We start from the raw sequence: 22672 nt of genomic DNA on the forward strand, positions 1-22672 counted from the left end.
GCACTTAAATAGCATCTAGTACATAGTAAACCTTCAATATATGTTGTGATTTTATTACTACTACATGCGGGACACTGGGAGTGCCCATATAAATAGCTCACAGTCTCTGTTTTTGAGGAGTTGCTAATCCAGCAGAAGAGAAAGACCCAGCAAAGAGAGACTTTTAATAGAATGTGCTGACTGTGCTCAGTTCATGGGAGGAGTTCTCAGGGCTTTAGGGAGGGTTTCCTGGAAAAGATGCCACTAGAGCTGAGTATTGAAGTCTGGTAAGAGTCAGCCAGGAGAGGAGACTATGAAGGGCACCCAGGCAGAAGGAACGGTCTGAGAAAAGCTCAGAGGTGTGAAGCCACGTGAGATGGCTGAGCAACTGGGGACAACTGCTTTAACTTGGGCATCTGGGAGGCAGTGAGGGCTGGAGGAAGAGGCTGGCAAAGTAGGCAGAAGCCACGCCAGGGAGGGTGTGCATGTCTCAAGAGCTCGCACGTTATCCTCCTGGAGTCTGCGGTGAGAAGCCACTGTCTTCCCTCAGCTTTGACCATCCTCGTTCCTCACTCTGTGGACTCTCTGGGCACTCCTGTTCCAGAGTACTCCATTCCTGGCGTGGAATGAATCCTCATAGACCTATGAAGATCTGAGAAAAGCAAGAGGCCAGTGCTGGCCCCACCAAGCTAACTTGGTCTGCTCCAAACCAAACTGCACATGACATTCCAGACCCACCTTCTTCCCAGCCCCTGTGGGTGGTGGTGTTTGTTTGTGGTGCCACTCCCCCTTCCACTACTGTGGATAATTTGAACTTGCAGCAGTCTCTTTTCTATAAAGCGTGGATATGCAGCAGTAGAGATAGCACGGAAAGGCCAGGTGTGGTGACTCACACCTGTAATCCCAGTACTTTGGGAGGCCGAGGCGGGCAGATCATTTGAGAACAGGAGTTCGAGACCAGCCTGGCCAACATGGTGAAACCCCATCTCTACTAAAAATACAAAGATTAGCCGGGTGTGGTGGTGCGTGCCTGTGGACCCAGCTACTTGGGAGGCTGAGCTAGGAGAATCACTTGAACCCGGGAGGCAGAGGTTGCAGTGAGCCAAGATCACGCCATTGCACTGCAGCCTGGGTGACAGAGCGAGACTCTGTCTCAAAAAAGAGCATGGAAGTGGGGCCTGAGTACCAGGCTCAAGTCTAGCTCTTCACTGATCAGCCATGTGACTGTGGGCAAGCCACCACTCCTCTCTGGGCTGCAGTTTGCTTCACTGTGAAACAGGCGATCATAATACACACCCCAGCTTCCTCATGGGTGTGGCTCTAAGGACAGAGAAAAAAATCGAACACGATAATATATGTGAAAGAGTTTTGTAGGTTGTAAATAGTTTTTCTTCTTGTTTTTGAGACAGGGTCTCACTCTGTTGCACAGGCTAGAGTGCAGTGGTGCTACCCTAGCTCACTGTAGCCTTGACTTCCAGGGCTCAAGCGAACCTCCTGCCTCAGTCTCCCAAGTAGCTGGAACTACAGGCTCTGGCCACTACACCTGGCTAATTTTTAAATCTTTTGTAGAGATGGGGTCTCACTATGTTGCCCAGACTGGTCTTGAACTCCTGGCCTCAAGTGATCCTCCCACCTCAGCCTCTCCAGAGTTCTGGGATTATAGGCATGAGCCACTGCGCCTGACTGTAAATAGCTTTTCACACGTGAAAGATTAATGCTATTGTTCCTGAAAAATCTATTGGTGAGGAGGAGCCTACACTGGAAACTCAAAGTGAATGACTTTTGAATCTTTGGTTGGGGAAAGACAGGGAAGGGAAGGGAGCAGGAGTATGGTCTTCTGGTCTACCAATGCCACACACAAGGAATAGCTTTCCTTTCGGACTTTTTCATGGATCCTTTTTGTATTTAAAGACCTCTCATGGATGAATTCACTATCCCAAGATTTTCTGAAGCCAAATCTGTGCCAGACACCAATGATACAATAATACAACAGATAGGGTCTCTACCCTCATAGAGTCACAGCCTAGTGGCATAGATGGACATTTCTCTAATAAGCCCTAACTGTATAATTAGATATCATCATGTGTGTTATGAAGAAAGCATACAGGACATTGTGAGAGTGTTTAACTGGGGCCTGGTAAAATTCTGAAGGTACAGGGATGCTTTTCTAAGGAAGGGCTACTTGAGCTGAGATCTGCAGGATAGCTAGTATTTAGGGAGGAGAAGGAAGGGATGGGAAGAGTGATTAAGGGCCAGGAAACAGCACGTGTGAAGGCCATGAGGCCAAAAGGAGCTCAGCAGTCAGAGCTGAAAAAGGCCAGGGTGCAGAGTGCAGAGCATGAGGGAGGGGAGTGGGGATGCCTCAGTGCAGGCACAGGTCAGATACCACAAGGGACCATCCCACTGGCCATCCTAAAGAGCATGGGAATCACTTAAGAGTGTTGAGAGTACAACATAATGTGACTAGGTCAGATTTGTGTCCTTAAAAGGTCAGTCCAGCAGCAATTCAGAGACCCAGTTACCAAAGCCAGGGAACATTTTTTAGTTCTCAGAAGCATTTCCACTCGTTTTTTTTTTTGTTTGTTTGTTTTTTTCTGACACTTTCTTTTCCCTTGGCTTCTCTGACAATTGGAGATGCAAGAGTGGATACAGCCATACCAATGAGAAGGTGATTCCAGCAGCCTGAGGAAAAGGCAAAGTCAGCCTGAACTAGTGTGGAGGCTGTGGAGATGGGGAGGAGTGGAGTGGATGGACCCAGGTGCTGTTTAGGAGGTAGACAGGGCCTGGTGATGGGCTGGATGTAAGGCGGTAGAGAAAAGGGAAGAGCTGACAGTGACTCCCAGTTGATGGCGTGCAGAACTGAGGTTTGAGGTTATGCCATTCACAAAACAGGCAGCACTGGAGGAGGATCAGGCAGCGGGTGAGAAGGCAGTGGGAGATGTAGCAGGAGAATCACGACTCTGGCTTTCAGTATGTCAAGTCTGAGGTTTCTTGAGACATCCAGCTTAGTCAGCTAGGCAGGTGAATATAAGGATATGGGGCTCAGAAGAAAAGACACCAACTAGGAAGCTGGGTGTCATCTGCATGTGGATGACAACGGAAGCCGTTCGTGTGGCTGAGATGGCCCAGGGACAGAGTATCCAATCAGAAGAGAATACCTTGAGCCAGACCATAAGGAACACCAACATTTAAAGATCAAGACGGGAAGGATGAGTCAGCAAAGACGACTCAGGAGTACCAGAGAAGCCAAGAATGTGGGGTCAGAGAAGCCAAGGGAAAAGAAAGTGTCAAAAAAAAAAATGAGTGGAAAATGCTTCTGAGAACTAAAAAATGTTCCCTGGCTTTAGCAATCTGGAGAGCTGCTTCAGCAGAGTGATGGGGGAGGAAGCCAGACTGAAGCAGGGCTGGGGAAGGAGTGGGTAGCACAGAGATGGAGAATGCTGTTGCAGCCAACCCTTTCAGACATTTGGCTTGTACGGAGAAGAGAGACAGTGTGGTGGCAGCAAGTGGAGTCGGGCTTCAGGAAGGTTTTTGTTGTTGTTTTGCTTGTTGAAGACATGAGAAACTTGAGCATGGTGAGAAGGCTGTTTCTGAGAAGGCAGAGGAGAGGACCTAGAACATGGGTGGTGGAAGAACTGGCCTGTGATGGCCATGCTGTGGCCTCTGCAGACACAGGAGGGAAGGAGGAGAGGACTGGCCCAGAGGCAGGTAGTTTGGGGGTTTGGTGGGGATAAGTTGGGGAGTTCTGCCTGGTGACTTCTCTTTCTCTGTGAAGTGGGAGGTGAGGTCCTCAGCTGAGCATGAGGGTGGAGGCAGAGGTTTGGGGAGGAAGGTGTGAAATAGTCATTGTGGAGACTGAGGGGAGACAGAACCAGAGGAACGTGGTAGGAACACCAGGCACTTTTGAAGAGCAAGCTGGGTTGGTGATGGTGAGTTTGTAGAAGTAGCAATCTGTTTGTGTGTTTGTGTGTGTGTGTGTGTGTGTGTGTGTGTGTGTGTCCCAGCGGGTCCAGATTCCTGAATGCAGGTAGAAAGAAGCAGATAAAGCAATTAATCCAGAACAGGGACTTGGTCAAACTAGGACAATAAAAAGACAGAGGCTCAAGAGAGTTTAGGATATTGGCAGGAGGATTCTTAAAAATGATGGACCATGGCCTCTATCTGGACTCAGAGAAGGGAAGGCAGAGGAAGGTAATTGATGGTAAAAAAAAAAAAAAAAAAAAAAAAAAAAGCAAAGGTGCCAATGGAGCAAAGTTCCCAAAGAGATTAAAGAGTGGGGGTGTCATAGAACCCTCCCACTGCTAAATTTGACTGGCTAAAAAATAAGTGGTGGTGTGGGAGTCCTTGGACAAGCAAGCTGGGAAACTAAAAGGTGTAGAAGGTGATGACCAGAAAGTTGGGTACTCTGCTAGGTAATTTTCAGGGGATGGCAAGATACAGAGTGTGAACTTGCAAGTGAGTGGCTGAGATAGGTGAGCCCGTGAAGGGACTGTTGGGTCTGGGGTAGAAGAAGCTGTCCACATCGTCACTAATCTCACCCAGGATGATGGACAGACATACAGTTGGAAAGGGAGAAGGTCTATGGGCACACGCCAAAGGCTTCCCTGAATGAAGAGGGTGGCTAGTGAGAATAAAGGTGAGTGGGGAGGATGTCGCCTTATTTTGCGAGATTTGGGGAATAATCGTGTCTTAGAGACATTACATTCTCTTGCACATGAAGTAGCCCCTCCAGGGTGAAAGATCAGGAAAATCAGTGGAAGAAGGAGTCTTGAGAAGAGGTAGTAGGTATAGCACAAAGCCAGAAGTTAGGAGCTTTCTGTCTAGTCCCAAGGGCACTAATACGCTATGTGATCTCAAGTCCTTCCCCCTCCCCATTGCTTAAGTTTCTCATAGATTAAAAATAGATCGGGAGGACCGGCTAAGATAGGGCTCCCCAAGTGGGGCTAGGGAGCAACAAATGGGTACAGGTGTGCTGAGATCATGACCCTTTAGCCCTTGGGTCAATTGGGGTCCCTGAGCCATTATCACTGTGTTTCTGTGCTATAATGTGAATGAGGACAGTGAGAAAGCAGTGGGACAGATGCTCTCCAGGGCCCCAGCTATCTCTGACGTTCTGTTTGCACATCTCTGTCGCGCCGTCTTGGAGGAGGCTGCATGGAGGCTGATAGAAGAACAGACAGACTCCTGCTGCAGGCAGAAGTCCATCTGCTGGCAGAGATAGAAGCCAAGTTTCCTAGCTCCCTCTTGCTCTCCTTCCCTCCCTCCCAGCACTAGTTGAGGGAGCTGTGATCTGCTCAGATGCCCAGGTGAGAGCAGGTGCACCTTGCTCCTCTTCCAGCTGATAGTTGGGTGGTCACCGGCCCCCTCAAGCCTCAGTAGCAGCTTGTGAAAGTGAAGGAGCGACCACCCACTAGTTCCATCAATCATCCGCTTCATCCAGCTCTAAAAACAGACTCACCATTTCTCAGAAGCTGGGCAGCATATCTCACTGCACACCATCCAGACAGAGCCTTCACAATGCAGATCTTTCTCTTAGGGCCAGCCACTTCTCAGAGATCCACGTAAGATCCACATACATGGTTGACCGAGGGCCACCCCCTCTCTGCTACTAGCCTTCCGAAGGGCCCTCCCTCTCCCTCTGTCAGATGATATATGCTTAGAGAATGCACCAGCAACTTAAATTCACCCTAATCATAAAACACCAGGAAAGACCCACTTGGCCCTGTACTTTGTGCACAGTAGATGTTCAATAAACATTTACTGAACTAAATGAAGACTATTCTCAAATATTTAAAAAACAATACCCTACCAAGTCTATCAGAATTCTTTAAATTATCCATCACATTATTCCTGTTTATTTGGGTAGATAATTAAAAGATGACTTTTTAAGTTCTTTAATATTTATTGGTACCTACTGTGTGCCAAGCATTTTACAAGCATGAGCTGGTTTCATTTTCACAACCCTGTGAACTGGGTGTGTTAAACCCATTTTATAGATAAGTGAAATGAGGCTCAATGAGAGACTGAGACACGTCCAGGGTCATAGAGCTGGGAAGCAGAAGCCACAGGATTCTAACCCAGATGGATCCAACTTTCAAGAAGGTGCTCTCTTCAGCACATCAGGCTGCTTCCCACAAACGCACAACAGATTGCAGCATCAAGAGTGACCGAAAGAGACAGAGGCAGCAAAGTTGTATGCAGGAAGACTGCAGCCACACAGTAAACCTGAGGCTTCCCACTGCCTTGCCCTGGGGAAATCGTTCTGAGGTTGGCTAAGCTTTGCCGAAGAAAAGTGGAGAGGGGTCTGGCCCCTGCTCCTCTCAGCCCCTGTGATTGCTAGGCTGGTTCTCCCCCTCCCTGCTTTTCCCCACTACCCAAGTGATCTGGCATTTCATTTAGGGCTGCCCTGCTTGGTTCTTTGAGTGTGTGAGAGGCCTAGAAGCAGCAAGGATCTGTCCTTGGATACTCTACTCCCACCCCTCTCCCCACAGGACCAAGTGACTCCTGGGCCCAGGTACCCTTTTGTTCTCAGGGCCCAGGAAACAGATAGGAGAGTGGTGGAAAACATGAGTGGTCTGACCTGCCACGTTTGAATGCGGCTGTCAGCCCCCCATGCCTGCCCAAATCTGCCTGACAGGTGAGCAGCTGTGCACCATATCTGTCTGTCCATCTGTCTCCCTCTCAGGGGCCTGCAGAGAGCCAATACTCCTCAGGGAGGGGAGGCCCTGGACCTGAAGCAGCTCCCTTACTTTGGATGTTACTCAGCAGGGACTAGGAAGGGTGGGGCAGGATAAGTGTGCCTCTGTCCCCATCCAAAATCTGACCCACCCCCCACCACCAACTGCCAAGTCCCCCTCACTGCCTCCCCTCCCCTCCCCTCCTCACTACTCTCCCAGCTCTTCCTGCCAAGCTCTGCAAATTACCACACATGCCAATAAGTCATTAGAAACCAGAACGGCAAATGTGAGGTTGCCATGGAGACCAACACCGGGGAGCTGGCAGCCCTGGGGGCCGGCCGGTGGCTCAGGTGTGTTTCAGGGAGAGCTGGGAAGGTCAAAATGCCTGGCAGAGGGTATACGCACTACTGGGGCACTGATTTTAGGCAAGGATCTGCCTCTGCCTGCTTCTCCTCTCCCTTCCCTCCCACAGCCCTGGGTCCTGCCCACCTGCAGCTTGTTATGGGTGATAAATGCTGCATAAGCTTCACGAGGGCAGGTGCAGCCTGGGCCAGTGGGCTGGGTCCTCTCCTTTCCCAGAGCTGTGTCTCCACTCAGAGCAGGTGGCTGTGAGAAAGCCCACCTGGTGACCAGTTCCAGGACAAAGAACACGGACAGATCTGAGCAACCTGGGCTGGCTGCGGATGTTTGGAGAAAGCTGAGGCCCAGGAAGGGGCTGAGGTCAGGACTGGAACTCAGAGCTGCTCATCTTCCTGCGCCAGTGCTCACGTCGCCTCTGCCCAGTTCTTAGCACAGTGCTTGGGCCTTTATATGCACACGTTTGTTGAAAATGTAAAAATATACACATACAATTGTTGTAACGGACGAGTTCATGAGAGAATTCATGTAAGCATCTGGGATTTCTGACAAAACAGGAGTGGACCGTGGGTTGCAGTCCCGGCTCATCCACTAACTCAGCATGACCTCACACAAAACCACTCCTTCCTGGGCCTCGATTTCATTGTCTGGAGAATTAGCAGGTTGCATTTCAGACACGCTGTATTTCAAACCAGGCTTCTCGGAGCCACCGAGTTCTGAAGCAATCCCTCCGGGGTGGCTGGGAGGTCAGAAGGAGGCCAACTGGGTTCTGGTCCACCGCTTGGCTTTTGCCTTGTATTTAGTTTCCTGATGCTGCTGTGAGCAAAGGACCACAAACTTAGTGGCTATAAACAACACAGATGTATTCTCTTACAGTTCTGGAGGCCAGAAGTCCAAAATGGGTCTCCCCGGCTTCAAGCTAGGTGTCGGTAGGGTTGTGTTTCTTTCTGGAGGCTGGAGGAGAGACTCTGTTTCCTGGACTTTCCCAGCTTCTTAGACAGGAATCTAGAGGCTGCCCACAGGCCCTGGCCCATGGCCCCTTCCATCTTCAACACCAGCACTGGCAGGTCCAGCCTTTCACACATGGCATTACCCAGATGCTGACTTCTGCCTCCTTCTTCCACCTTTAAAGGACCCATGTGATTACACTGGGCCCACCCAGATAATCCAGGATAATTTATTCTTAAGCCAGATATCAGCAATCTTCTTTCTCCCTTGTCATGGAACATAACATATTCACAGGTTCTAGGGATTAGTATATGGACATCTTAGGGGGCCCATTATTCTGCCTACCATACATTGAAAAATGGATTAACTTCTGTAAATGTTTGAAAGCCACAGAACCAGAGCGCTTCCTGTTGCCATCAGTTCTGATGCACTATGACCTAAGCTCTTCTCCTTTTCTCCATGGGGGATATGCAGAGGAACTCTGGGTCTGCCCATCAGAGGTGAATGTTGGCAGGCTTAGGCTGTTTTGTGGGCTGTGCAGAGAGATGGGTCTCTATGCCCACCAGAAAAGAGGTCTCCGGGGAGGAAAGAATGAGGACTGTTTTAGGGGAATGGCCCTGTCTCAGCTCCTTCACCTCCATTCCCTATATACCCTGAAATTCAGATGACCCTGCAGTTGTCTGCTCATTTTTATTTCCATGCAAGGTTACATGGAGCCGTGTGTGTGTGTGTGTGTGTGTGTGTGTGTGTGTACCCACCCATGCACACTTTACCTGTTGCAAAAGGCATGCCAATCTAACAGTCATAAAGGTGAGATAGCATCTTGTCTTTCCACACTTTGACCTTCAACACTGTCCTCTTCCAAGATTCATGAACAGTCCCAGATTGTTTAGAACAAACTCTAGATACAGTAGCTAAGCTCAGAAAACATAGGATCTTAGACCTTTCTGAGCTTTGTACTGCTTCTGCTAGCAACTTTCCAGGCCCATAATGATCAACTCTCGCCTCTGCAGGTGAGACAGGCTCTTTCTTGACCCTGGGGGAGATGATGGCCTCTCATTCTTCCATACAGCATAACCTCTGTTCTCATCTCTGCAAGACACCCTCTGCCAACTGCTTGGGACCCAGTGGGGCTCAATAACTTCTATGAGCAAGGTGCCCTGGGCATTAATCACAGCCCCGGTGTTTTATGATTTTATGCAAATTACTCACCTCTCTTAGCCTTATTTTCTTCCCTCGGTATAAACTGGCAGCTCATTCCCATTCCCACTTCTATCATATGTCCCAGGGGATCCCGGAAAAGAAATGTGATGAGGTAGGAGAACCCTATTCTCTAGAGGAGTGGCCCTGGGGAAATTGAGAAAAGGAACTAACATTTATTGAGCTTCTACTTTGTAGCAGGTACTTTACACAGATTAGCTCATTTAATGTGGTAGTTGAGAATCAGGGCTCTGGAGTCAGAAAGATTTGGGGGCTGAATTCTGGCTCTGCCACTTGCTGGCTGTGCATGGCCTCCAGGCTTTAGTTTCCTCAACTGCAAAATGGGGGAAAATAATATCTACTTCACAGCGTTATGTGGACGAAATGAGACAAATGCAGTGAAGCTTCTGGCACCTCATAAGCACTCAATAACGTTAGCTCTTATTATTATTAACAACCCTAGGAAGTGGATGTTATTAACTCAGATTTACAGATGAGGAAACTGAGGCTCGGAAAGGTTAAGATGCCCAAGGGCAGGTGGCTAGGGACTGTGAATTCTGACCCAATGCCAACTGATTCCACTTCCTCTGGATTGTAAGCCATAAGGACAAAAGCCCCAGGGTCAGCCTCTGCGTCTTCCAGGGGGTTGTGCTGGGGTACAGCGGGTGTGCCCCCCTTTCTCATGGGGGCTGGGGGCAGGGAGGAGAGCATCGCCCCCCATGTCTTGGGTGGGTGAGGGCACTACCAATGGATCCTAGTCTACTCCACTCTGGTGATCTCTCTCTATACTTCAGAGGTGAGTTCATATCCCCAAGATCCAGGGAGAGGACACACTCACCCCTCATGGGGGTGGAAGTTTGCTCATTTTGGTGCAATTTTATTTCCAGTTCACAATATCTGAAACGACCAGGAATGTTATAGGAGTAACCTACCAAACAGGAGCCCACCCAGGCAGTGAAAGGAAGGGAGAAGAGAAGCTGCTGCAGCCTGGGTAGATACATGGAGCCTAAGGGAATTCCAGAGAACATGGCTCCAGACACCAGTGAACTAAGAGGCCGAGATTCCCAGCATGCAGACCTGGGACAACGGCCGGAGCTGGAAATGGGACTCCATGAAGCCAGAGGACTTCCAAGATCAGAGATCATCTGGTCTCGGGCAGGAGAGGGCAAGGACACTGGATAATGGATTTCCTTCTGGAAAGGGTGGCTTTCCGTGTCTCTGGAAAGAGTACAGGGGGCATTGGAAACCCAGGTGGGAGGCAGGGACTGCTCAGAGACAGAAGACCCTGCCCTTGCACGTTGCCACGTGGGCTGCCTTACTCCCACTCAGTGACCTCCCCTCCAGCAGCACCACCCTTCTCTCCTCTCACCCTGCCAGCTCCAAGTTCTCCGTGCGAGAATCCTTCCCACTGCAGAGTCGAATCTACTCCATTTTCCAAGCCTAAATCAGCCGCGCCCCCCTGAGGAAGCGTTCCCTATATAACTCCCACACAGAGCTCACAGTTCTGATAACATTTATAGTCTAAATCACACAGTTTAGCACTCGGTTTTAAATACTGTCTGGTATTATTCCCTCATTATTTCTTGTGAGTGTAAGTTCTGCCTCCCCAGCTGATCAGTAGGTTTCCTTACCAGTAAAGACTGTGTCCTGTGCTTTTTTATTTCCTTCCCAACCTCACACCCCACACTGCCTAGGACAGTGCTCAGAGCATCCTTGGTGGGGATGTACTGATTGGCTGAAACAGCTCCAATGGCTGCAGAGGGCAACCAGGCAGCACTTCCTGACTAGCCGCTGAGGGAAAAGCTGGAATGGATGGCCAACGACCAGTGGTGTTAAAAAGTCAAATCATGCCGCCCCAGGCTCCAACCCTGCAAGAGCCCATCTTACTCTGAGGAAAAAATCCCCCTCCTCACCAGCTCCAGACCTCTCCTAGAGCTAACCTCCTCCTGACCCTCTGACTTTATCTCCTGCAACTCTCTGCCCTCACCACACTCCAGCCACGCCAGCCTCCACGCCGCCTCTGACTCTCCAGGCACAGCCCTGCATCCCTGCCCTTGCACCTGCTGTCCCCTCTGCCCAGCTTGCCCCGACTGTGGTGCCACCCCCTCATCTCTCCTCAGATATCACCTTCTCAGTGAGGTCTCTGTAGCCACCCTGCACAAGATAACAAACTCCCCCTCTCCCAACTGACTCTTCCATTTCCCTTCCCTGTTTTTTCTCTTTAGCACTTACCAGCCTCCAATGTGCCATTTCCTTTATGAGTCTATTTTACTGCATCCCCAGACAATAAACTAAAAGCTCCTGAAGGGCAGAGGTCTGTCTGGTCATTCACTGCTGTCTGCCCTCAGTGCCTGGCTACATGCCTCACAAATACTTGCTGAACGAAGAGACTCCAGCCCCATCCCATGTCTGAGATGGCTGAGGCCTGGTGGCGCTCGAGATGGGCAGTGGACAGGATGATTCTGCAGGTCCCCTCGCAATGTAGATTCCACCATTCAACCCCTGGGCCCAATTCTGGGCAGGCACTTTCTCAGGCTCGAGGCCTGAAGCTGTCTGAGCCCCAGCAGAAGGCAGGGGAAGAGGAGTGGTGACAGCCAGGCAGGGTGAAGTGTCAAATTCTCTCTTTCCTCCTACACAGCTTTTAAATGTCTCACTTCCCACCAGCTGGCCCTCTGTGGTCATTCCCCCTTCTGGGCATCACCACCTCTGCCCTCCCAAGCCAAAGACAGATACTTTCATCGACCACGTTTGAATGCTTATTTTGAGAACATTTTAGAGAGCAAAGTAACCTTTGCTGCCTTTCTTTTCTCTTCCTCCTTTTTCCTTCCCCCTGAAAAGATCAGATAGGACAGACCCATTCTTCCTGGGGAACCCAGGCTGGTTGCTAATAATCACTGCCCTGCCCCCTTCTTCCATATGTTTTTCCCTGAAGAAGCTGCCTTGTGAGATGTTTGTAAATAGGAACAATTGTACCTGTTCTTCCTGAAATACACGAGTCTGCCTTGTTAGAGCTATCCCACTGACAGCACAAATCCCAAGCCTTCCCCATCTCTCTCCACCTTATCTGGAGTCTAGGCCCCATTCTCACGTCTCCCAGCAAGCCACCCTTGCATTGGTTCCCACCATGTGTCCATGGGCACTGACTCTTAAGGTCCAGCTTCTCTGAGGATAGTGGCTCCATGTGGCCCCGAGGCACTTAGCTGAGACAGAAGGAAACAATGTTGGATCTTAAATATCACACCCTGCAGGAGCAGGAGGAAAAAAAAGGTCACAGAGACCCTCTCTGAAGATCCCGAAAAGGAGACAGGCAGCCACTGGCTTGGGCAGGGCTGGCTTAGGGGACTTTCTTCCTGGAGGGAGGGAAGGAGGAGAATGGGCTGGATGTCCCAGAGCACCCTCCAGGCCCAAGGAACACCAGATTCCGGGGTGGTGAAGAAGCAGGAGGAGTCCTAAAGTCAGAGAGAAGGGCTAACTCCCTCCCTTGGATCTTTCCTAGCTATATGTCCTTGAGCAAGTCTGAGTCTGTTTCTTGGCTTTTTAGGTTAGGGATAATGAGAGTTAACTACCTATCTAATAGGGGTACTTTTGAAAGCTTAATGGGATAATGCAGGTAAAGCAGTTGGCACAGTGCCTGGCACACAGTAAATGCTCAATAAATGCTGGGTATCATAATTAGTGTTGTTACCACGTGAGAGGTAGAAGCTGAGAAACAGTTATTGCCCCAGGAACCCTCTGTCTGCACTTTATCTTGGAACTCGCTTCAGGTCCATCAAATGCTGAGTAGCAGGGAAGGTGTGGGTGCAAGAAACACACAGAAAAAAACGAATTCCAAACCAAACCTGGTTAAACTCACCTCCTAAAAGGCAGCCCCCTCAGGCCAAGGCGTCTCCCAGGTCCCTAAGAAGTGCCAGAAGGCAGAGTGCAAGGCCTAGCAGCTCTGGGTTTGGAGCAGAGTCTGCTTGATGCGGGCTTAGAACGTGCAGGAGCCCAAGGTCATGAGGCTAACCCCCAGCAGGGATGCACCAGGTCCCCTGCACCAAGACATGTGGGAATGTTCTGGGCGACCAGCCAGCCCCACTGGAAGCCCAGCTCCCAGCTCTGGAGAAAAAGAGGCTGAGAGGGACGTGTCAGCGGTGATGGTGACATTCACAAAGAGCAATGAACACATACACACCCTGGTATCTTTTCATGCACGATACCTGTGCCCCAAATACCCTCATCACCTGTGTCCCCAGACCCACCATCTCTGCCTGGTTGACTCTTTTTCAAGCCTTGGTTCAAATATCACATCATTTGGCAACCCTTTCCTAATCCGCAAACAGCAAACAGAGAGTCACTTTTTTTTTTTTTTTAAAGACAGAGTCTTGCTCTGTTGCTCAGGCTAGAGTGCAGTGGTGTAATCTCAGCTCACTACAATCTCCGCCACCTGGGTTCAAGTGATTCTCCCGCCTCAGCCTCCCAAGTAGCTGGGATTACAGGTGTGTGCCACCACGCCCGGCTAATCTTTGTATTTTTAGCAGAGATGGGGTTTCACCATTTTGGCCAGGCTGGTCTTGAACTCCTGACCTCATGTGATCCACCCGCCTTGGCCTCCCTAGGATTACAGGTGTGAACCACCAAGCCTGGCTGAGAGTCGCCTTTTTATCTGCTTATCCCTATAGTCCAACACTTGTTTCATTATTGTCTATGGGACTGACTCCCCCATCTAATAATAATAACAATAATAATATTACTTACATAGCACTTACTATATATATACCAGATACTGTTCTAAGCTCATTACATGTATCACCTCATGTAGTCCTCATGACAGCTTTATGAAGTAGGTACTTTTATTATCCCATTTATAGATGAGGAAACTGAGACGAAGAGAGGTTACGTGACCTGCTCAATGTCACCCAGCTAGAAGTGGTGAAGCCTGGATTTGAACTCCAGCTGTGTGGCTCTAGAATCTCTACTCTGACGGTGAACTCCTTGAAGGCAGGGACATCTGATCTGTCTCTTTGTCCCCTGCACCTAGCACAGAGCCAGGCACACAGTAGGTACTTAGAAAAGATGGGTTGACTGAATAAGCAAATGCCTGATTGAGGCTAACTTGGTGAAATTTCAGCCTCTGAGCTGTAGGCCACGGAGACCCAGGCCCCGCACTGGAAAGTAACAGATAAAGGCATCTTTCTGACTCGTCCTTTCAGCAATCTAATCACATGCTGCTGTCTTTTTTGCATATCTCTTGTCTTCGGTTTTGTTTTGTTGTCTTTTTTAGCTACTTCATTTTTGTCAAAAGTGTTTTTTGTTTCTCAGTTTATCTTCTGCCTTTGTCTTCCTTCTCTTCTGTTCCTTGGTCACTCTCCCCATTCCTGCCCCATTCAAGCCTCCAACTATGGTCCTTGTCCTTCCCTGGAGTCCTTGTAGGCTTGAAAGCTTCTAGTCCCCATCCTTTATCTTGGAGCTTTTATAAAGAGTCCAAGCCATATAGATTAAGAACACAAGTGACATTTATTCATTAGATGGGCCATAGATCAAGCTTCTATATCCTGACCCTGAGTCAATTCTACCTGAATGCAGGTGGGGTGTGGGATGAGGGACTTCCTGCCTACAAGTTGTCACATACCTGTGTAGGATGACACAGGAAAAGTCATTGCCCTCCCTGCCTCCTCATTCAGGGTCCCAGTTCCTTCAGGAAGCCTTCCTTGATCACTTAAGAAAGCTTATTCACACAACCGTTCAGCAAATCCTTATACATATTAATAGTCTAACTGGGAGATAAGGCCCCATGAAAAGTTAGGTTAGAATGTAAGCCTTAGTATAAGTGTACAAGTTACCAGATGTCACAGATATCATAGGGCCAAATCAACTGCAGATACAAGTGATTTCAAAATGGAGATCTATATGACCCGGAGCAAGTGGTTTCTCCTCTCCAGGCCTCAATTTCCTTGGCTAGGAAACAGGGGATGGTAATGCAGACATTAGAAGGTTGTCAGCACGACTGAACAGAATAACTTTTGTAATGTTCCTCACATAGACTGGTGCATAATAGGTATTCAATAATAAATTTGATTCCTTCCCCCTTCTCTGTCTGAAGCACCAGCCTTCTACTTGCCCTGGGCTGCCAGATAAATGGTGAGATGTGACCTGGTCCATCCTTTCAGGTCAGAAAAGTATCCTAAGGACAGGATGACTTAAGCGGTACCTGGCATGTTAGAGGTCACTCAGTGTGATAATTCACTAGCATTGTTCATGTTCCTCACCTCTGCCCCCTCAAGCTGTGGGTCTTTGAACGAGCCTGGTGGGAACAGAGCTAATCAGCTGGCAAGTCCAGATACAAGTGTGGTCAGCTTGAGACATGGAGGTTTGTTTACCGCTGTATCTTCAGCTTCTAAAATCATGAGAGGCACACAGTAGGCACTCAAGAAACAGTTGTTGAATGAATACATTTTTTTAAAAGCCATGGAGTTTCCTTTTCCTTTCAAATAAACGACATAAGGGTGTGGGGAGTAGAAGGGGGAGGTGAGTAAATGACAGGGTTCAAGGGACACCAGGGCCAGGCAAATGCAGCTGCCAGGCCCACCAGCCCAGGCTCCTCTGCAAAAGGGATGCAGCAAAGTCAACAGTGCATGTGCTCCCACTGGCAGGATGAGCAGGAGTGCGTGCACGCCTGGCTTACGGTTTAAGCTGCAGTTTACAGGAGAAGCAGGGCAAAGTGGAGACAGAGCCTGGGAAGAAAGGGAGATATCTGGGGAAGAATGAGGAGGGTGAGAGAAGAGGAAGAGCAGTGTGAGGGGGAAAAGGGAAGTGAAGAGTGTTAGAGGAGGAAAGTGAAGAGTGAAGGAAGGAGAGGAGGATGAGGGGGAGGAGGAAGAGGGGAGGCACAGGGAAAATAGGATGGGAAGTGAGGAAGAACTGTGTTGAATTAGAGAGGGAACCTGCTGTACTAGCCTGGATGGAATTAGCAGATCTCTGAGATCTTACTGCCACTCGGTGTTTCCCCGGGAGGAGACTGCATTAGGGAGAGGGTGTGGATTTGGGGGTGTTCCTAGGTGCCAGACCCTGGGCAGACCTCAATCTCCCAGGCACTGAGGCCTTTAGTTCCATGCTTTGCAAATAATGAGGACCCATCCCAGGACCAGAGAGAGCCCTCCGCAAGAAGGAGAAGCCTGAGTCAGCACAGGGGAAGGAAGAAGGCCTAGGAGGCTCAGATCCCTAGCTCTGCCCTTCTGTTTCCATCGTTTCGCCACAACAGCACCTGGCCAGGAAAGTGGGTCAGGCCACCCACATGTGGCTTTTTCTGGTAGCCACAGGGCCCAAAGGCAAGGGGGCTCCAGTGCCCAGTGCAGAGCCCACCTCTACCCTCCATGCCCAGTGCTCTTTTTTGAAGGGATCTTTAAGAAGCAGTGGGCAATGGGAGGAGCTCCTGGCCTTCTTATTCAGGGACAAAACGCTGGGCCAGAGCCCATCCTAGACTGGCGGGAAAGGGGGGCACGGAGCCTGCCATCGGCCTGGGTGCATGGGGAGACCTACATCTTCCCCTATGACAGTGACCAAACTGGCAGGGAGTCACCTCTACTGCCCTGACCTAGGGAGGCTGTTCTCCTCACCACCCTAGGTCCTGGAGTTCTCAAGCAGAGGGCCTGTCAGTCCATCTCTGGCAACTGAGCGCTGTGCCCAGCCCACCCCCTCCAACCCTGCCAGTCGCCCAGTTAGAAGCTGCGTTGGCTCCAACAGATGGGAGCTGCGGCAGCCTGAGGAACAGAGCACAAAGCCCAGCTGACATTTTCCTTCCTGTTCGTTTGGGTGGGGGAGGAAGGGTAGGGAGCACAGTGCTACCCCCGGGGCCCCTCCCCAGGTTCCGGGTCTCCTGCACCTCTTTAGCTTCTCCGCTCGGCCCCAGATGGAGCTCAGTTCCCTCACCCCGCGGCTCCTCGCCGGCTGGGCAGCCAGAGCCTGCGCCACCCTTTGCCAGCAGGACAGACGGCCCACCTGTGGCTGGCCAGCCCATCCTGTCTCCTGGGTCCTGCGGTGGGCTCAGAGCCACCCTTCCGTTTCCGCTTCCCCCTGACCGAGTCCCCAGGCTGAGCCCCAGGCCGGCCCATCCCCCACCCCAAAGGTCCCATCCCAGGCTGCGGTCGGACCCCAGCCAGCCGGCCCGGGAGGAGCCTAGCTCCTGGTTCCAGATACTTCAGACAGACCCAAGGCCACCTTGTCCCTCCGCACAGACTCGCGAGCTCCAAGGAGGAGAAAGTCCCCAGGCTCTGGAGCGCTTCCAGCCTGCCAGTCCGCCCGTGTCACGCCCTCCCTAACCTCACTGCCACCTCTCGGCTCCTCCACATCTCCAGGGCCCCACTCTACCCAGCAACAGTTTGGGGGAGGTTCTGGCCTCTCCAGGCGAAGGCCCAGGCGCCCTCTCCCTGGCCGCTTCTGGGCATTCTCCAGCCCTCCGTCCCTCTGCCCCTCGGCCGCCTCCCTCTCCCAAGTCTCCGGCTCCCCCGCAGGCGTCTCGGCGGAAGGCAGCGGCCGGCCCTCCTCTGGCCCCCACCCGGGTCAGGCGGAGCTGCGGTGCCGGGGCAGGAGCCAGGAGCCCTGAGGCGGCTGCTCCGGCCGCTCCCGCCGCGTACGCCTCGGCCACGCCAGCGACCTCGGTGTCCACGATTCCCCGGCGGCGGCGGCGCTGCCCAGGTCAGCCCCGAAGCTGCACACTCACCCCGTGGGCGCCGGGCACCGTCTGCCGTCTGCTGCCCGCGCGGCCGCGCTCCGCTCGCCTTCCGCCCGGGGCCGGGCTGGGGACGCTGGTCCGCGCCCTCCCGCCGCGCGCGCCGTCTGCACAGGCCGGGGAGGCTCGGCGGGCGCCCTCCCCAACGTGGAGTTATCCTGGGAGCGGCTCCAGGGCCCAGCCGGTGAGGGCGATGGCAGAATCCCAATCCGTCCCCACCCCCTCTCCGCGCCCTGGGCGCGTCGCGGCCGGAGGCTGGCGGGCGAGAGCCAGGCGCTCCTTGAGAGCGCCGCGCGTTCGCAGGTGCCCGGAGCAGGCCCTCGCGGCGCCCGGCACCCCCTCCACGCGCGCCCCTCTTCCCGGCTTCGCGCTCGCCCTCCTCACTCGCTTCTCCGCCGCTCTCCCAACCTCCCCAGCCCACTCCGGTCGCCTCCTCCCAGTCTGCATGCCACGCCAACCCCCTCCAGTCCCGCTGCCATTTTAACTCCTGAGTGGCCAGAGGCCCCCTCTACCTAACGCACACACACCCGGGAGGAAGGAGTTGGGTGGGGCCAGACGCTAACGCTTGAGCTGTCCTTGTGCCTAGAGACACAAGGCTTGGCTGAGAGAAGGGGCACAGCCCTTGGGTCCGGGAAGAGAAGGGTTGGCTTCTCTCATACTGCCTCGGACCCTCTTGCAAAGGCCAGGAGACGAATGGGGAATTCAGCAGCTTTGTGAGGACAGGTGCAGCTCACAGTCACAGCATGCACCTAAGATCACATTTTTGCTTTGCATGGTGCTACCCTCCCGAAGTTAACAGTGGACTAAGGAATGTAGTGGGGTGGGTGAGAATTTGTCACTGGGCCCAGGCACCTCTCACCCTAAAGAATGGAGTGGAAGACCCCTTTAGTTGTCATGCTTTTCCAGCATTGCATCCTGAGCCGTGCAGCTCTAGCATTCTGGAAGATTCCGTCCTGGCTCTCAATGAAGGAGGTCAATTTCAGTCAGGAACTGGCAGGCCCAGTTAGGGGTTTGGCTTCAGGGTTCCCCACTCTGCCAGCTGGACATCATGAAGACTGGGGGAGGAAAGTAAGAAGGTGCCAAAGGTGGGTGCTAGGCTGCTGCCTGGTGGCTTAGAAAAGCTGGGTGACTGCCACTAGAGGAGGGCAAAGGCCCAATGCCCAACACCCATGCCTTGGTGGGGACTTCAGCCTGGACCACTCAGAACAGACATCACAAACTCGGCTCCATGGCAGGCCACACCCTACTGATGGGTCTGGACCAGAGCCTGCAGAACCAACAACAGGGGAATGGATGAGGTGGAGGCCAAGGTGTGGAGTCCTGTGAGGAGTGGCTTCCCTGGGCTGCCTGCCGTCATCCAGTGCTTGAGCTTCTGGCCCTGTCTTTTCCAAGGGTACAGCCAGTGGTGACTGCCATGCCTGGTGGCTTTTGTGAAGTTGGCTTGAAGGTCTGAGTTCTGTATGCACAGAGGGGATTCTCACCTTCATATATTGAATGAGCACATATTAAGTTCCCACTAAACCACCCCCATGTTCCCACTCTCCACCCCTGCTACGGAGCATAATGGCCTCAAGGAGCTCAGAGTGACAGGTTGGAACTATATGAAACCAATTTTAATATTTCAAGACGATGGAAGTGCCATAGAAATACAAAAAGAAACCACCTTAATGGACTAGCATTATTCACAAAAGGTTTAACGGAGGAGCTGAGTCTCCAACTGAGCCTAGTTGGAGGGATAGGATTTGAACTGGAAGAGAATATGGGGACCAGCAAAGGCAGGAAAGTGGAGACAAGCAGAGTAGAATGGGTTGTCTGGAGGGTAGGGGGCAAGGGAGGAAAATTATAGAGCTACTATTAGATGCCAGCCTTTTCTCATCTCTGTCATCTTAGACTCTGAGTTGACTAATATCCCCTTTTAACAGACCGGGGGATGGAGGCCCAGATCGTTTAAGGCAGTAGCCCAAAATCTGTAGGCAGAATGTGAGACCTCATTTTCACAGTGCGACAATGCCACATTGAGTATACAGGGTGGGAGCAGCTGATGAAGGGCCCGAATTGCCAGGCTCAGCAGTTTATCTGTGGACCCATCCTCAGGTGATTTGGGATGAAAGAGGCAGGAGGATGGGAGACTATTGAGGTAGCTGTTGCAGGAATCTAGGAGGAGGGGAGCAGTGAGAATAGAGTAAATGCATGGGCCTTTGTAAAGAAGACTTGGCAGAACTGTAAGACTGACTGATTGAAAGGGGTCAAAACTTGACTCCAAGCTTTTAGCCTGAGCATTTGAGTCCCTTGTCGAGTCACTGGAGCCACCTTTCCAGTCTAAGGGCCAATGTCAATGTAGACAGGATGATGGTGAAAAGGAGGACATTTTAGGAGTCCTTTACCAACTGCACGACCGGAGAGAGCACTCATGTCAGCACCCCAGCTTCCCAATAACTATGCATACTCAAGTGTCTTATCTCCTAACCAGAGGGTAAGCTTCTGGAGCCTATGACTGTCTTACACCTTAATAAGATAAGACCAGTCCTTTATAGTAGATGTCCAATAACTGATTATTGAAATAATAAATGGGATAAATGCAAGTAACGTTCACTAAGTGGTTGATCCTGAGTGGCAAAGCCTGTGAGATGTACTAGATGAGGCATAAGGGAATTTCATCAGCTGTGAGAAGAAAATAGGGGAAGGCTTATCTTGAGCTGACTCCAAATGTCTTAGAACCCAATGAGATTGGAGAAAGAGTGTAGCTTTTAGAGCTGGAAAGATTTGGATTTGGAACTCTACTTGTCCATTTACTCTGTCTTGCTTCAGGCAAAGTATTGAACTTCCCCAGCTCTGATTCTTTCCTGAGTAACGATATTAATTCAAGTAATAGCAGTTAACATTTATTGAGCACCTACTACATGCAAGGCAAGGTGCTAGCACATTTATGCATCATCTCATCAAAAATTTGACCAATACTAGGACTCTAGTGATAGGAGAAAAACAAGGTTCAGTGTTTACCTAACCAGTATGTAACAGAGCTAAGACGGGAATCCAGGGTCCTCAAATGACAGAGTCCAAACACCAAGCCAAGTCTCCCTAGCACTTCTTTAGGATGAAGATAGCAATAATGGAATGGATTCATACTTATAGGTTGCTGTGAGATGTTACAGGGACTATATGGCTGGCATGAGCACAGTGGCTGGTGCATGGTATGTGGTTGACATTTTTCTCCCAACCCTGCTCCCATTGCTGCCATTCTGAGTCTCATACTTTCCTGGGAAAAGCTGCCCCAATTCACAGTCCTTTGGAAGCTCTTAGGTAATTACCCAGAGGATTTAATGGCCCTGTTATTGACCTTTCACCCTCCAAATTTAATTTCTGGGCTTGGCCATGCATTATTTCCCACCAGGAAGCCTGGAACTCCGTGACATCAGAGTGTCTTGGGAGAGGGATGCAGGGATTACATGCTGCTAGAAATGATCCTTAGCTCAATTCCAGGTGGCTCTCTCATATAGGGGTCAGGATATGGAACTGGTGGGGATGCTGTTTGTGTGGTGGGGGCTGTGAGGAGAGGATGGCTCCTACTGGTGCCTGGCACATGAGCCGAATCAGAGAAGGGAGGCCTGGGATGTGGCATGGGTCACTGAGGGTCCCTCAGTGGACCCTCCACACACACGACACTGTGTGTTGTGTGCAGCCTCTGCTCAGCCTCCTTGGGAGATATGGGGTGGGGTCTGGGGAGTCAATGAGGACTGTTGTCCCCCACCAGTGACCCAACTAGGCAGAGAGTAAGGCACTAGAGCAGTGGACCTTGGAATCACCTGGAGAGTGTGGGCCAATGCAGGTGCTGAGGTCCTACCCCAGAGTCAGATTCTGTAGTTCTCAGAGTCTGCATTTCAGATAAACCATCCAGGGGATTCTGATTCAGGTGGTTGGATGACCTCACTGTGAGACAGACTGGCCTGGGGGTGCCCATTGCTCTCTGACCGTCCCCTGCCCGGGCTCCCCATGTGCAGAGCCTTGTTCTCTGGGCTATTAGAGAACAAGTGAAGGCAGAGGCAGAGGCAGAGGTGAAGGGAATGAAGCTCAAGTTTTAGGGCTTCTCGACTTGCAGGATGGTGGGGAGAGGGTGGGCTATGAAAGCTGGGAACTGTAGAGTGTCCTAGGTGAAGAGGGGAAGCCAGTTTACGAACAGGAAGCATTTTTATGTAAGGATTTCTGGTAAATGGAATGAAGAAATGTCAGGAGAAAGGGACCCTGAATGTCCAAGGCTCATGTAAATTGTTATCTTCTTGCTGGCCGTAAGTAAATATCACTGTTGTACCTAATTTTGTATTTGGAATTTTGCGGGTTTTTTCTTAAGACGGCCCCACAGAACTGGGATCTTCCCTGACCCCTGCCCTCAGGGAGCTCCCAGGATCCACAGACACCCTTGGAACACAGAAAACCGCAAAGGCAGAGAGACACACGTTGCAGATGGCAGAGCTGTGTGGAACTGCAGGGAGTCTTCAAATTTATCTTGGGTTATATTCCTGGAAAAGGCACTGCAGGTAAAAATGATGTAGGTTGAACCTGTTTTTGCCCAGAAACAATGTGATCATAAAAATTACATTCCTCACCAATGTCCCGGTGCCCAACTTTTTATAGGCATAAGCACAAACACCACAGACACCATATTTAATCAACCATAAATGATACACCTCTACTCTGTTTTTTTTTTAAGATGGAGTCTCGCTCTGCCACCCATGCTGGAGTACAGTGGCAAGATCTTGGTTCACTACAACCTCCACCTCCCAGTTTCAAGCGATTTTCCTGCCTCAGC

The 22672-nt window shown here is 51.0% G+C and overlaps 1 protein-coding gene across 2 annotated transcripts in view, besides 2 other annotated features; it reads right to left on the bottom strand.

Annotated features, from left to right (window-relative positions):
• LRRN2 (leucine rich repeat neuronal 2) overlaps window positions 1–18278 on the bottom strand; it is a 68569-nt gene extending 50291 nt beyond the window's left edge. Inside the window, exons 1-2 of one of the 2 annotated variants that reach the window (NM_006338.3) lie at window positions 17860–18278; window positions 15410–15537 (exon numbers count right to left, since the gene is read on the bottom strand). The gene's annotated coding sequence lies outside the window, so the exon portion shown is untranslated. The remainder of the gene's footprint in view (window positions 1–15409; window positions 15538–17859) is intronic. The other variant, NM_201630.2, reaches the window with a different exon arrangement.
• Window positions 10634–11134: an enhancer, noted in NCBI's record as "H3K4me1 hESC enhancer chr1:204647222-204647722 (GRCh37/hg19 assembly coordinates)". NCBI's record gives its function as "activates a minimal SCP1, AML or CMV promoter by ChIP-STARR-seq in naive and primed H9 embryonic stem cells {active_cell/tissue: H9 hESC(naive and primed)}" and the evidence as "EXISTENCE:reporter gene assay evidence [ECO:0000049][PMID:30033119]".
• Window positions 11135–11635: an enhancer, noted in NCBI's record as "H3K4me1 hESC enhancer chr1:204647723-204648223 (GRCh37/hg19 assembly coordinates)". NCBI's record gives its function as "activates a minimal SCP1, AML or CMV promoter by ChIP-STARR-seq in naive H9 embryonic stem cells {active_cell/tissue: H9 hESC(naive)}" and the evidence as "EXISTENCE:reporter gene assay evidence [ECO:0000049][PMID:30033119]".
• Window positions 18279–22672: the final 4394 nt, after the last annotated feature.

This window comes from Homo sapiens, chromosome 1, assembly GCF_000001405.40.
Source record: "Homo sapiens chromosome 1, GRCh38.p14 Primary Assembly".
Taxonomy (NCBI): domain Eukaryota; kingdom Metazoa; phylum Chordata; class Mammalia; order Primates; family Hominidae; genus Homo; species Homo sapiens.